Source organism: Homo sapiens, chromosome 6 (genome assembly GCF_000001405.40).
Source record: "Homo sapiens chromosome 6, GRCh38.p14 Primary Assembly".
NCBI classification, from domain to species: Eukaryota; Metazoa; Chordata; class Mammalia; order Primates; family Hominidae; genus Homo; species Homo sapiens.
In genome coordinates, this window is record NC_000006.12 from 100,525,249 (window position 1) to 100,540,396 (window position 15,148).

The 15,148-nt window shown below is 34.2% G+C and overlaps 1 protein-coding gene and 1 pseudogene across 5 annotated transcripts in view; one reads left to right on the forward strand and one right to left on the reverse strand.

Annotated features, from left to right (window-relative positions):
- The window catches only part of ASCC3 (activating signal cointegrator 1 complex subunit 3), a 373,136-nt gene that overhangs the window by 17,055 nt on the left and 340,933 nt on the right, over positions 1 to 15,148 (reverse strand). For all 5 annotated transcript variants that reach the window (NM_006828.4, XM_011535394.4, XM_047418108.1 and 2 more), the window contains one exon: positions 14,915 to 15,139. In NM_006828.4, coding sequence (NP_006819.2) covers positions 14,915 to 15,139 — 225 coding nt within the window. The remainder of the gene's footprint in view (positions 1 to 14,914; positions 15,140 to 15,148) is intronic.
- Positions 4,980 to 6,182, forward strand: LOC153893 (defective in cullin neddylation 1 domain containing 1 pseudogene; annotated as a pseudogene).

The window sequence follows — 15,148 nt, forward strand, 5'->3', positions numbered from 1 at the left end:
CTGTTCAAATTAAATGACATGGGGATGATATATTGTCATCAGAGTTTAAAAGAAAGAAATTTATTTATGCCAAAATGAGAAAAATTACATTAATTTATAAAAACCAAGTTGTTATTTATAAAGTATCACAAGAATGCAAAACACTATGGAAAGATCATCAAAAACAGGAAAGTTTGAGAAACTTTCAGAGCCAAGAGGAGCCGGAGAAATGACTACTGAATTTAAAGGGATATCTACAATGAGACTCCAGAATAGAAAACGGCATTAGGGATCATCACACATTGTATACCTGTATCAAAATGTTATATGTACCCTCAACATAGGTACAAGTATTATATATCAAGAAAAAAATTTTAAAAAGAAAAAGGATATTAGGTGAAAAAGAATTGTGAATAAGTATAGACTTTAGTTAATAATTATTTGCCAAAATTGGCTTATTAATTGTAGCAAATGTACCTTACTAATATATTTAAGACGTCAATATTAGAAGAAAAATAGGTTCTAGGTATATGGGAACTTTGTACTATCTTTGCAACTTTTCTGGAAATGTAAAACTATTCTCAAGCAAAAAGTTTATTTAAAAAAATTACGGAAATTGATCCTAGGCAGCTTGTTAAAACATTAGTTGTTAGACATCTGCTAGAAAATGCACTATTTAGTTCAAGAGCTCCCAGAAGTTTTACAATGATGGGAAAACCTGAAAAAGCTTTCTTGACAGAAAAGCCACTCCTTTAAAGGTTCAGGTCACTTGCAAGTAATGATACAATATTTTGTCAATAATTAAAATGCTATAAGTACATTTATAAGAATCTTTTTCAATAGCAACAGTTGTTCATAGTAACTTTCTCCTGAACTTTTACCCCCAGAAGGTTAGCATTCAGGAAGCTCAGCTGCTGTCTAACAAACTTAATTAATCAAAAAGTCATTTCCGAGCTGTAACTATGAGTAAAAGCGCTTCAAGTGTGCTAGCAAGCCTACAAGTTAATCAAAATGCTAATGCAGTACAAATTAAAGTTGTGATTAACATTTCACAGTAGCTGCTTAAGTGAATTGATCACACAAATGGGTTAAGCATTACTCATTTCCTACAGCCCCAACCGGGAAAAGGGTTGTTATGTGGGTATAAGGAGAGGAGCAGGGGGTAGAAGGATCCTTCATAATAGCATCATATCATCAACAAACCACCACCAAATTGTTATACAAAAGCTTACAGGTAAAGTCACCCAGAGGGAAAACAGCCTTCCAAATTATATTATAGTCCTTGAAGGGAGATTGGCTATAAATCCACAAGAGTAAGTAAAGGTGTTTAACACCTCAAAATCCACACATTTGTGTTAGTTTTGGGAAAGCTAAATGCATCAACTCTGTATCACTTCCCTAGTGGAGAATGGTGCTTTGTTTTAGGTGGTGTTTTGGGAGATAAAATATAGCTTTGACCATCTAGGACTAGGATTCTGCACCACTGTGTGGTCCTTTGCATTTGGAAGAATAATCACTCAGGATTAAGTTCATTTAGAATTATTTGTTTTTAGTCATCCACTAATACGACTTCATCAGGTTTTTATGGCAGAATATGAACTCCGGGCAGTCTGGCCAGGAATGCAGCCTGAATTAGATTTCACCTTCATCTCTATGAATTTGATAAGGTCACATTAATACTTACAATAAGTAAACTACATTTGTTTGTGGATAATTCAGATTTGGCAGAAAATCTTAAAAACATTGTAAGACTCCACAAACAAAAAATCTCTTTTTCCAGTCTTGCCTATAAAAGAACTAAAAAGAAAAAAGTGAAATATTTATTTACCTATGATACACTGAGATCTATATACCCCAAGCATTGTACTCAAGTCACCTTAACAGTCGGTGTTGTTATAGTTGATAAGTTTCCAGCATACTTTAGATGATACAAAAGACCCCAATGTATGCTTATAGTATTAATGCTCATAGTTCCTTGAAACATATCCATAAATTATTTACTTATAATCTACCCATCTTTTTCTCAAAATGATTAGAAGAAGCTTTCTGAAGCTTCTTGCGCAGTACTGTCTATTTAAAGAGAACGTTTTCTTGGTCTAATTATAAGCATTTAAAAATTTGAAAAGATTCTACAGTAATACACAAGACTTTATCTACCATTTGCTATATCAAAACATTTCGTACAGGTATTGCATTAAGGGTTTCACCAAGTACTTCTATTGTTAAGCTCAGCAATACCTGGACTATTTTCACTGCTAAATGTATTTAAACTCTGCAATTCTAAAACTCTTAAATGACACTGACATTCTTTAATACATCACCAACCCACTGAGCCTGAGCTTAGTGCATCTATACGTAAACACTCTGCTCCATGGCAATTCTACCTCCTGGCATCATAAAATATTCCTATGCTTTTTAATCTACTACAAATGAGAATCATTTGTTAATGAAAATATAGAACCAGCTTACAGTCATAATATCTTTCACTTAAAATAATTTTTAATGAAAAATACCCACATCGTTATATCTTCTTTTTCTTCCCTTATTCTTTCCTATTCTCAGACTCTACTGTGTGTATCCATAGATATACACACACATCTTCTTTGTTTTTTTTTTTGTTGTTTTTTTTAAGATGGCATCTCGCTCTGTCACCCAGGCTGGAGTGCTGCAGCATGAATCATGGCTCACCACAGCCTCAAACTCCTGGGCTCTAATGATCCTCCTTAGCCTCCCAAGCAGCTGGGTCTACAGGTGAGTGCCACCATGCCCAGCTAATTTTTTTTTTTTTGGTAGATATGGGGTCTCACTTTGTTGTTGCCCAGGCTGTTCTCGAATTCCTGGCCTCAAGTGATCCTCCTGCCTCAGCTCCCCCCTGTTGGGATCACTGGCATGAGATACTGCACTTGGCCCATACATATCTTAAGGTTATCTGCTAATATACTTTAAAAAATAGATTAAAGATAAAATGCATTTTCAGAATATCTGTGAATTATAGGAAAAATATAATACTAGCTATGTGAAATGTAATATAATTTTAGTTTATCAGAAGTTGTTACAGAGATTAAGAGGTCAAATTATTGAAGTTTAGGCTAAACAACAATCCCACCAATATACTTGTAAAGATTTGTTTTTGCAAATATAGGAAGGTTGTTTGAATGAAGAAAGGTATAGACATACAATTCATATACTTCTTCCCTTTATTTATGCAGCTGATTTATTTTTTTGGCTAGCACATATGACAATTGATAAAGCCTACTAGAACACTGTGACATTAATTGGAGTCTACATAGTATCTCACATGCGAAAGAGAAGAAAGACTGGAAACTCAGTAGATCAAAAAGACTTGTCTGCTCATCCTATGGAGTAGTCATTCTTTTATTCCTTTTCTTTCTTAATAAACTTGCTTTCACTAAAAGAAAAAAAAATACTTGGGTGTTAAGGAAAATAATATAAAATGAAAGCTCCCCTACTAAAGTTAGAGCCAAGACTATATATAACAATGGAAACTTATCCACCAGAACATAGCTCCTTAAAGGTCTTCCTTTCAGGCACACTGAATCACCTAGAATACTTTCAAAGCAGCTGTGCTGGCTACTTCCATTAGGGCAATGGAATATGAATTCAATCTATACTAACATTTACCTTGGAAGACAGATCTTTACATTCTTCCTCAATAGTAAAGAGGAGATATCTGCTATCTTTTGGGGGAATTGGTAGTTCCATATCTTGAGGCAAGGAACCTCTGAGATTGCCTATTACTTCTAGAAGTTTGAAGTTTTTCAAAAAGAACCAGTAGGTGGACAAAGTTTGCTATCCAGGTGGCACCATCAGTGGTGGTGGTGGTGGTTAGACAGTGAAAGAAGCCAAAAAACTAACCTAAGGAGGCAAACCTTAAAATGAGAGAGGAACATAAAATGTGTGTGTGTGTGTGTGTATGTGTTTATTATAGTAAACCTACGCAGAAATTATTCTAGTGTGCATTTACCTTTTATTATAGGGCTATCTTATAATTATGATGTTATTCTTCCTTCTCCCTATGGATCAACAATCTGATCTTTCTCTCATTATTTTCAATTATTGTAGCTTTATGGGAGAATGTGAGGAAACAAGTGGTTAATTCATTAGTTTATATAGCATAATATAAAAACTTGAGAAGATGCATAAGCAGTTGATACAAAAAAGGCAAACACCCTACCAACTGGACACTGTAGAGTGATATAATAAAGCAGTTACAAATATTCAATCAAATTACCAAATCCCTCTTAGAAACTGGTTAAAGTAAATACAGGCAGACCGTTGAAAAGGGAACCTGAGTAATTAAAAGGAGGTGATTTAAGTATGCATTGAAAAACAGGGATTAAAAATATTATTCATGGTCTAATGGGAATTCTCGGTTAAAAAATGTAGAAATTTCTATGAAGTTCTCAAATTTTAAAACAAATTCTCACTAGATCATGGGTACAATTTTAAAATCCATCAATATAGGACAAAGGAAACACAGTCAAATACATTTTTATGGTATATCCAACCTGTGCTGAAAGCTGTTTTTGCCTTCTGATGTGATTTTGGGAAAGTTACCTAGTCTTCATCAGTAAAACGAGAGTAATAATTGTACTGCTTCACTAGACTATTGTAGAAAATGGGTCAATTAAATGCAAAGCAAGTACAACAGGGCCTGATACGAAGAAAGCCCTCAATAAATGTTCACCATTACCACAGCTGTCATGATGTTTGCCTTAGGGCCCATCATTAAATCGTGATTTTTTTTTTTTTCTTTTTTGGTAGGAGGTACAGGAATGGTGTGCAGTTCTCCAAATATTCTGGTATAATTTGGTATTTAACATACATTAATTCCAATTTAAATTTGCAAGCATAGGTTTCTAGAAATCTTTCTAATCAGTGTACACTGTCACATTTCTCTATGTGCATGTGTGTGAGATGTGTTTTCCTTTCATGAATTAACATCATTTTTCTTGTAGTCTTTAAGAATATTGCTGCTCATTCGCTCAGAGCCACAGGAGGAGGGGAGAGGCCTGGAGGACACCAACATGAACAAGTTGAAATCATCGCAGAAGGATAAAGTTTGTCAGTTTATGATCTTCACACAATCTAGTGAAAAAAACCGCAGTAAGTTGTCTATCTCAAAATGACTGGAAGTTAGATGTTGCAACAGATAATTTTTTCCAAAATCCTGAACTTTATATATGAGAGAGTGTAAAAGGATCACTGGAAAGGAAGAAGTTAGAACAACTGTACAATAGAGACAAAGATCCTCAAAATGAGAATAAAATTGGAATAGATGGTATATAGCAGTTCTGTGATGGCCTGGCACTCAATCCAGCCAGCATTAGTGTGTTGATTATTGCATGGATGTTCAGAGCAGCAATACAGTGTGAGTTCTCCAAACAGGAGTTCATGGATGGCATGACAGAATTAGGATGTGACAGCATAGAAAAACTAAAGGCCCAGATACCCAAGATGTAACAAGAATTGAAAGAACCAGGACAATTTAAGGATTTTTACCAGTTTACTTTTAATTTTGCAAAGAATCCAAGACAAAAAGGATTAGATCTAGAAATGGCCATTGCCTACTGGAACTTAGTGCTTAATAGAAGATTTAAATTCTTAGACTTATGGAATAAATTTTTGTGGAACATCACAAACAATCAATACCAAAAGACACTTGGAATCTTCTTTTAGACTTCAGTACAGTGATTGCAAATCACGTGTCTAATTATGATGAAGGAGCATGGCCTGTTCTTATTGATGACTTTGTGGAATTTGCACGCCCTCAAACTGCTGGGACAAAAAGTACAACAGTGTAGCACTAAAGGAATCTTCTAGAACGTACATAGTCTGTACAATAAATACAACAGAAAATTGCACAATTTCTGCTGGCTGGACTGAACTAAAGATCAATTCTCACAATTCAGACTGAGGGTTGAGACAAAACTTTAAGGATACATCTTGGACCATATTGTATTTCATTCTTCTAATGGTGGTTTGGGCTTGTCTTCTAGTCTGGGCTGCTCTAAACATTTATAATTCCAACATTGTGGATTTCATCTTACATCTGTGGACCATCCTACTTTATTCTCCCATAAGTCCTAGAAGCTTTATGGTGATTATTTTGAGGTTTCCATTCTTGCATAAAGCACAATGCTGTCTTCATCAGAAAACAGTTGGCATAAGAATTAAACATATGAACATCACAAAGCCATTTATAAGAACTTCTTAAACTACGCTTTGGGCTAGTTGCAAAGACTATGTTAACAGCACTTCCAATAAGGGTGATATATTTAAGTATACTGGATCTGGAATGGTATTTTGGTTTGGGGGGAATTTTTTTTTTTCCTGGCAAATGACATGTGTTGTTGATGTGACTAGAGTATCTGATGAAAAAACAATGTCAGAATAACCAACGTGAAAAATTTTTAGAATAACTTGGTGCCTACCTGAAAAATGTATTGTGTTTCAGACTCTTGATTTCAAAAGGTTCCACAGAACTAGTCTGCGCTTACCTTACCCATGTTTATATATAGTTGTCCTGTGGGGAGCTTTTATTTAGAAAATGCCCGCATAATGTAAGATTCTACTCCTGTCTACATTATGCACTACATAATTGGACTTCATTATGCTTTTGAAATGCTTATCTGCCTGTCACATAAGTTAAACTATTTAATGTGTTTTGAATGTTTTGGATTGCTACACAATACAATATTCTAAATTTAGGCATGAGGGTTTATTTTTTGTTTTGTTTTTACTTTTTTTTTTGTCATTGCACTATGGAACACAAATGAAATTCTCTTAATTTATAAGAAGATAGTAGGAGTTAAATTTTGAAAATGGTTGTGATGAGCCACGAAATTCAATCTTTATAATATAGGTACTGCTCTTTCAGACAAACAGTCCATTTTTAATGACTTCTTATTTTGTTGAAATTACTTTAACTGCTAATCACTGTGGTTGCCAAATATTTACTTCAGAAGCAAAGATTTTCAAACAAGCATACACGATGCAAAATACCAGTCTGGCTTCTAGTCTATTTACTGTTTTTGTTTCACTCAGATTAGCTCAGTTTTCTCATCAAAGCAGAATGCTATCTTGCGTGTGTGTGTGTGTGTGTGTGTGTGTGTGTGTGTGTATGTGTGTATATATATATATATATATATATATATATTTTTTTTTTTTTTTTTTTTTAAATTACAAAAGCCATGAGCTGCTTTTATGCTGAAAATGATCATTTCTCTGTTCACTTACTGACACTCAAAGAAGGGTTTCTTGCTTTCTTAAACATTGCCGTAAGGCAGGCTAGAAATGTAATACTTCAAATGTTAGATGATTATGGTCTTTTGATAAGAGCAGATTCTGCTTGGTATATCCAGGCACTCTCTAAGGTCTAGGGTTGATATTAACAAAGGAATGTATTTCAGAATAGCAGTACATTTTATGCAAATATGGAAATTATTTTAAGAAACAATGACACATTAAAACTGCTTTTCATTTACATGATTTTGAAATAGACTAGAAAGCTTTCCCTATAAACATATTAATATTCCAATCATAATTTTAATTCAAGAATGCAGTTTTACCAAAAGAAAAATCTGAAAATTTATATTCAGGCTACTGGAATTGGTTATTAAAAGAAAAAGGAAAAAGAAGAATCCTGCTGCTTTCAGTATTTCCTGATTTCATTTTTGTAAATATAAAGGAGAATTTCAATTATGAAACACTTTTAAAAGATACATATATCTCTATACATATGTACTGTTTTGTTTCCTGTTTTGAAGATTTTGAGTTATAGTTATTGTTTTCAGACTGATTAATTCACATATGCTGTGTTTTGAAATAAGATCCCATTAGCTGTTTTTTTTTGTTTTGTTTTTTTGTTTTTGTTTTTCAATATAAAGTGTTTTCTTCAAAAGTCTGATATTCGTTTGTGGCCTAGTGCCTTGGATTTTATATATTTTTCTTTTTAAATGCAAAACCTTTTCAACAGAATAGTGTTTGTCATAAGGTTGGTACTAAGCATTTATAATTACTGTGTAATTATAAACAAAAATACATAAAGCTTTGAATATAGTTATGTAGCACTGAAGTTAAGGTTGTTCACTATGATGGCATCTTAGAATTAAACAAAACTTTTACTAGGGCTGAAAAGAATATTGCTGCTAGAATCCTTTAAAATAAATCTTAAAATACATACAAGTGTTTTGATGTAAAATAAATCTTAAAATACACACAAGTGTTTTGATCTGTTAAAATGTAGGCTGCAGGCTTGATAACATGAGCTGAAGGGCAAATCTAGCCTCTATGACTTCTGAAAAAAAACTTTCCCAAACTAACTCAGTCAATTGACAGCACAATTAAACTTGGAAACACACAGCCCTCTGCTTCTCAGATCACTGAGTTCAGGCTCCATAAGCCATGGTTTCTCTTTTTGCATAACACATATGAAAGCTCAATTACTGGAAAGTTTTGAAATAAATACCATATATAGGAAGTAGTGAGAGTGACCAAGATATAAACACATATTCTTATACTATTTGGCTTAGTATTATATTTAGGTGTTTTTCACTTAAATGAAGATTATTTTTTAATTTGCAGACTGGTGGCACATCTTAGAAAGGATCAGAGATATCAGAGCAAGAATAAAAGTCCTGGAATCTCCATTTGGTTTCAGCACAAATTGCCTCAACAAATCACCTTTAGCAGAGCTATTTAACTTCTCTGAAAACCAACTGCTTTGTTCTTTGATAAAAAACAGTGTCAGGGCTGGGCGTGGTGGCTCACGCCTGTAGTCCTAGAAGTTTGAGACAAGACTGGACAACATGGTGAAACTCTGTCTCTACAAAAAATACAAAAAATTAGCCAGGCGTGGTGGCTTGCACCTGTAGTCCCAGCTACTCAGGAGGCTGAGGTGGGAGAATCCATTGAGCCCAGAAGTCAAGGGTGCAGTGAGCCAAGATGGTGTCACTGCACCCAGCCTGGGAGACAGAGCAAGATCCTGTTGCCCAGGCAAAAACCAAAAACCAAAAATCAAAACCAACCAAACAAACAAAAAATACACAAAAAAGGCAGAGAGGTACTCAAAACACTAGACATTTATCATTAGTTCTGGTTTTGTCACCAAATTTGAACATTTAGACAACTCACTTAAATTTTTGATACTTTTTACTTTAATTTTTCCATAAGAGCTAACATGAAGCTTTTCTTTGGCATATCCAGTACAGAAAGGCTGTCATATCACTTACTACATTTTACAAATACATTTTGCAGTTAATATGATCAAGAAGAGGATTTCAAAGGTAAAGGGCAAGGACAATCAATTCCATAAATATGCAATTTACAAATTAGAATATTGTAAACAAATTTTAAAAATTGAGATATGCATAGTAATTTTGACATTTATTTTTGTTAAGGGGGATAGCAAAGGAAATGCTAGTAACAGTAACATATTGAAAGGAACCATGACAAAAATATCTCAAACCAAAAAATGACACAAATGCCCTTGATACATAATTTGAAATGGGATAGGAGAAGCAAAGGCAGGCTGTATTGTAGACTCTGACTTCAAGCCAGGAGGAATAATTCTACTACAACTATGTTTTTCTTTTGTGAAAGACTGCTCAGAACATGAGTAGTCAAGACTACAGAGTTTTCATAGTCTGGATGATGGTGCAAATAAAAGGTATGCTTCTATAAAATAAAGGGAATAGTTAAATTACTATGATAAAGCGAGGAAATAAAAGAACTACTAAGAATGAAGATACTAAGACCTACTTCCAAGTCCTGAAATTGTTGTTTACTTTCTAAACATTAACTAATGCACCACTCTTCTAAGGTGTTAGTTTTACTCAGATACCAGAGGTTAAGTGACTTGCCTATGGCCTTATACTAAAATGGCAGCAGAGGAGAATTTACAGTCAGAACTGGTGGCAGATTCCCATCCACAGTTTGCAAGATCATGCTGATGTCCCATGAGAGAGGTAGTATAATTTTCAATCAGCCAGCAGAGCTGCAAACTGCTTGAACCAGTGCTTTCTAAGGCCAATAGTACCCATGTTATCAAATGAAAACAACAGGGCACAGAATTAGAACTGCCAATCAGTCATTTTCTCCAAGTTTCCCATTGGCAACTCTAATATTCTTTCCTCTTTCTGGCTTGTTTACTTTCACACAATTTTGTAGAGAACTTCCAAGAGTGAGAGGATTTAGAATATGAAGCTGGTTTTCGTGTTTTTTTTTTTTTTTTTTTTTGAGATGGAGTCTTGCTCTGTCACCCAGGCTAGAGTGCAGCAGCGCGATCTTGGCTCACTGCAACCTCCGCCTCCCCGGTTCAAGCAGTTCTCGGCCTCAGCCTCCCGAGTAGCTGGGATTACAGGCGCCCACTACCACCCCCGGCTAATTCTTGTATTTTTAGTAGAGATGGGGTTTCACCATCTTGGCCAGGCTGGTCTTGAACTCCTGACCTTGTGATCCACCTGGCTTGGCCTCCCAAAGTGCTGGGATTATAGGCATGAGCCATGGCGCCCAGCAGAAGCTGGTTTTCATCTCTTTACAATGCAGTTTTCTTTCCAGGTGGCTTCCGACAAGCCAAGCCAAACATTTAAGATGGTCAAAACGAATGCTTATAACTTAAAATCGAGGAAAACTGCATACCCAAATGTCTAATAACAGATAACTCACTAAATAAATTATGATATTTTATATGAGGGAATATAGTGTAGCCATTAGAAATTATTCTTGAGAACAATATTTAATGCTATAAATTATTAGGCATTTATAAAATAACAGAAGATATTTCTATAAGAAAAAAGTGACTGTGCGTGTAAATGTATGAAGAAAAAGTCTCTAAAGGAAAAAAAGAACTGTAAACAACTACTGCATTTTAGTTAGCATCTGCTTTTTGCAAGAGTAAGGGCTAGTAATTCTAAAACTACAACACTGAATATTCTAGGATTGAGGAGCTAAATAAATATATCTTTATTAACAATAGTGTTATACCTTACAGGTAGAAAGAGGAGTTATTAATAAAAAAGGAGGAAGACTAAGTGAACCCTTTGGTCTTAGATTGAAATAAGAGGTATAAGAATGATAAATATAGATGTTTTTACACACACATACACACGGGAGGTAAATGGACATGCAAATAAATACAAATGTCTGTGTATACATACTTACATTTCCTTGCTTTGTACACAGAGGGCCTAGAAGCAAAGACACCCAAGTAGCAATGGAATGCAGCAAGCACCCAGATTTTCTATTTTTGAGACAGGATCTAACTCTTATCACCCGGGCTGGAGCACAGTGGCTTGATCATGGCTCATTGCAGCCTTGACCTCCTGGGTTCAAGCAATTCTCTCACCTTGGCACCCCCTACCATCCATCACCACACCTAGATAATTTTTAATTTTTTCGTGGAGATGGGGTCTCACTATGCTGCCTAGGCTGGTTCTGAACTCCTGGCCTCAGTGATCCTCCTGTCTTGGCCTCCCAAAGTGCTGAGATTAAAGGTATGAACTGCCATGCCCAGTCCAGATTTTAGTTTCTACAACCATTCTCTAATAAAAGGAACCAAGTTTCTTAAAAACAAAATGGCCGATTCCAAAGCTGGGGCAGGGACAGCACAAGATGCCAGAATGCAAGGTAGTATTCAAGAAACACTGGGGTGAGTCTATACTTACATAAATAAATAACTGAATAAAGTAAATAAATGGGGGAGAAGGGAAGTTCTTCCTTATAGTATAATTCCAGGAATGACTAAAAAAGAAAATCACAGTAGTAATTGTTCTGGGCAAATATCACAAATGGATGCTGAAAATAATGTTAAAAACTATGACAAGAAACAGAATATTTATATAATCTCAAAGTTTCTCCCCAAATATATTTATTAATTACAAAAGAAAAAGTAACTCTATAGTGAAGAAGGCTGGCAGACATCACCTCAATTGTATAAAGTCAATATCATTGCCATACACATCTGTCATAAGCCTCCTGATATGATACACTAAGAGGACAAACCATCACTGCTGTGGTATTCTTGACAAAGAATACCACAAACTTAAATGTAATCAGAAGGAAACATCAGGCAAATCCAAACTGTGGGATAACTCCATAAAATAACTGCTTGGTACTCTTCACAAGTGCCAAGAAAGACAAGAAGACTAAGGCGACATGACAACTAAATGAAACGTGGGATCTTGAATTGGATCATGGTACAGAGAGAGAAAGGGCAATTATTGGGATAAAATTCATACTGACAAAATTTGAATAGGTCTGTAGATTTGTTAATAGGACTGAACCAACACCGAGTTAAGATGTTACCTTTAGGGGAGGCTGGGTAAAATGTACAAGAAAATTTCATTGTAGTATTTTACAAACTTTTTGTAAGCTTGAAATTATTTCAAAACGAAAGTCTAATTTTAAGAAAATTAAAAATTCATTGAAAAAAAGAAAAGACCCTCATACTCATGTGGGTGAAGGTATAATTACTATGAATGACTTTAATTTTAGTATGCTGCTTTTCCAAATTATCTACAATGAAGCATACTATTTTTATAATTAAAGAGAAAACGATTTCTCTTTAAATGCTGTTTAGAAGGATCAACAATATTTAAGAAATATAAATATTATCCCAGACACTGTATATAAGGATATATATAGATATATATACTGTATAAATATATATACTGTATATAAAAATATCTAATAGAGGCTAAAAGTACCTGGCTGAATCCTTTTCCTTAAAAGTAAATTTAGAAACAGACTCCTTTAAGAAATTTCCTAGATTATTATATGGCTTTTGAATCATTATTGACTGAGTGCTAAAAATGAATCAATGAACTGATCACGCAATATAGGTTTTAGAAGTAATATACATATAAAAATTACAATGTACAATCAATATATCTGCAAATATAAAAATTTAATTCATCTTGCCACTTCTCTTCAACCCTTTCTGACCCCAGAGTTCATTAACAAGTTAAGTGTTTGAGAGAGGAAAGGAAGTTATAGGAAACACAAATGAGTATCCAGGGCAACAGCTAAAACTTTAGGACCTTTAACCTTTGTGAAGTGTGACTAATAAGCAGTAGCAAATCACCTTCCTCAATAAGTAAACCATGTGTTAGTTACAAAAGAGTGTAAAAACGTGTTACATGTTTATTATAGCCTTACTTCCCTTCCAATTTTGATAACTTGAGCTTACTCTATTTTTTAAATAATTCTTCAGTTTCTAAAACAATAAAATTGTTATTTTTGGTAACAAAAATGTTTGAGGCCAATTTTAAAACATTCAAACATTTAAGAACAGCATAAAGAAAAAAATTAAAAATCACCCCAATTCCTGCTGCTCAGATACGGCTACTGTTAATCTTTTGGTGGACACCATTCTGGATCTCCTCTCTGGGTATATGTTCATATACAGATATGGACATTCTATACAAATGTAGAGTTCATAAATGGAATTGTAATATTTTGTAGTGTTCTGATAACCTGAGAGATACTTAGGTTATTTCCAAGCCTTAACTTTGCAAATCATTTCATAATGTATATTCTTGTACATATATAGACTAACTTACTCTACCTTTAAAGAACTTAAATCTTTTGAAAATTTTAAAAATGGGTTTTATGAAAAAAAAAATGTTTAGAAACATGTCCAAAAAAGGTATAAAGTAGAAAATCGAAATCCTTTATAATCGCAATCCTTTAGGTATTCTTCCCCCACCAAAACCGGCTCTTCTGACAATCATCCCCCAGTAATGTCAGCTCCATGCTTCTAGTTGCTATGGAGAAAAGCCTTGAAATAATCTTTGGTTCCTTGCTTTCCCTAAAAACCCTTGTTCAATTCATTAGAAGAGTCTGTTAGTTCTCCTTAGAAAAATATTCAATATCTGACCAGTTTTAATCAACCTCACCCATACTAACCTGCTCAAACCACCATCATTTATTGTCTAGCACTACAGCACTTAAGGTATAAAAAGGTCATTGATATGGTTTCAGATTCCATATTGCAACTAATCTTCAAGAAATATCACTTGTCAGATTCTAGTGTAGCATTAAAGAATACCCACAATTATCTGAAAAGGCTATAAAAATACTCTTCTCTTTTTAAACTGTTTACCTCTCTAGGCTGGATTTTTTTCATATACTTCAACTAACACATCCTATTGCAACAGACATTTTATGTTGATTGTAAAAGAAGATATATAAATCTAGTTGATCTCTTAAGTTGGAGATTAAAGATACTTGCAAAATGTAAAAACTGCAATACTTCTCACTTTTTTTTATTGTTTTAACCATCTCTTTTGACCTTTTTTACAATAAGCCTCTTTGATACTCCTTGAATATACCAAGTAACTTCCTACATGCAAACTTTCTTAGTGTTTGAATACACACCTCCAGAGACCCTACGGTTCACTCTCTTCTTTCATTTTTAGTTAAATGTTACCTTACCAGTGAGATAGTTCCTGAATACCATATTAAAAAATGGTACAAAACATTACCCTCCGTCTTTCTCTTTATTTATTTTACCATTCTTTATTTTTTTTAAAAAATAGCAGTTATTGAAAAATGGCAGTTATTACCTATTAATTTATATTTTAAATTGTCAGTCTTCCCCGTCTTGAGTGAAAGTCCGTTAACAGAAGGGACTCTTCTGTCTTGTTAATTATTATATGCTCAGTGCCTAGAAAAGTATCTGGCACGTAGTTTGCCTTCAATATGTTTTAGTAGAATGGGTGACTAAAACTGTCATCTTATTTCATTTATATTTGCTTTTACTTTGGAAATTCTTGATATGATCAACCAGTTGTTTCTCAACAATGCTACCATAAAGTTGTTAAATGCAAGTACATTTTATCCTAAAACTAGAAAAAAGAGGGCAGGAATGATGGGAGAAAACACACATAGGTATTAGAAATGACTTTCATACCTGACATACTCTGAGAGCTTGGTCCAAGACTGTTTTGGTATCAGTGTCATAATCTGGGCAGGGTAGCATGGCTCGGCTGAGATGTGCCTGTAGCAGGAGATGTGCTTTGGTGTGAGGGCTGTCAAATGAATGAGGATTTGATTCAATGGGAAGACATTTTGCCAGTTCACTATTCATATGATCTTCATTGTGTCTCACTGGCAAATCTGTATATTCTTCTGCATCCTGAAAAAA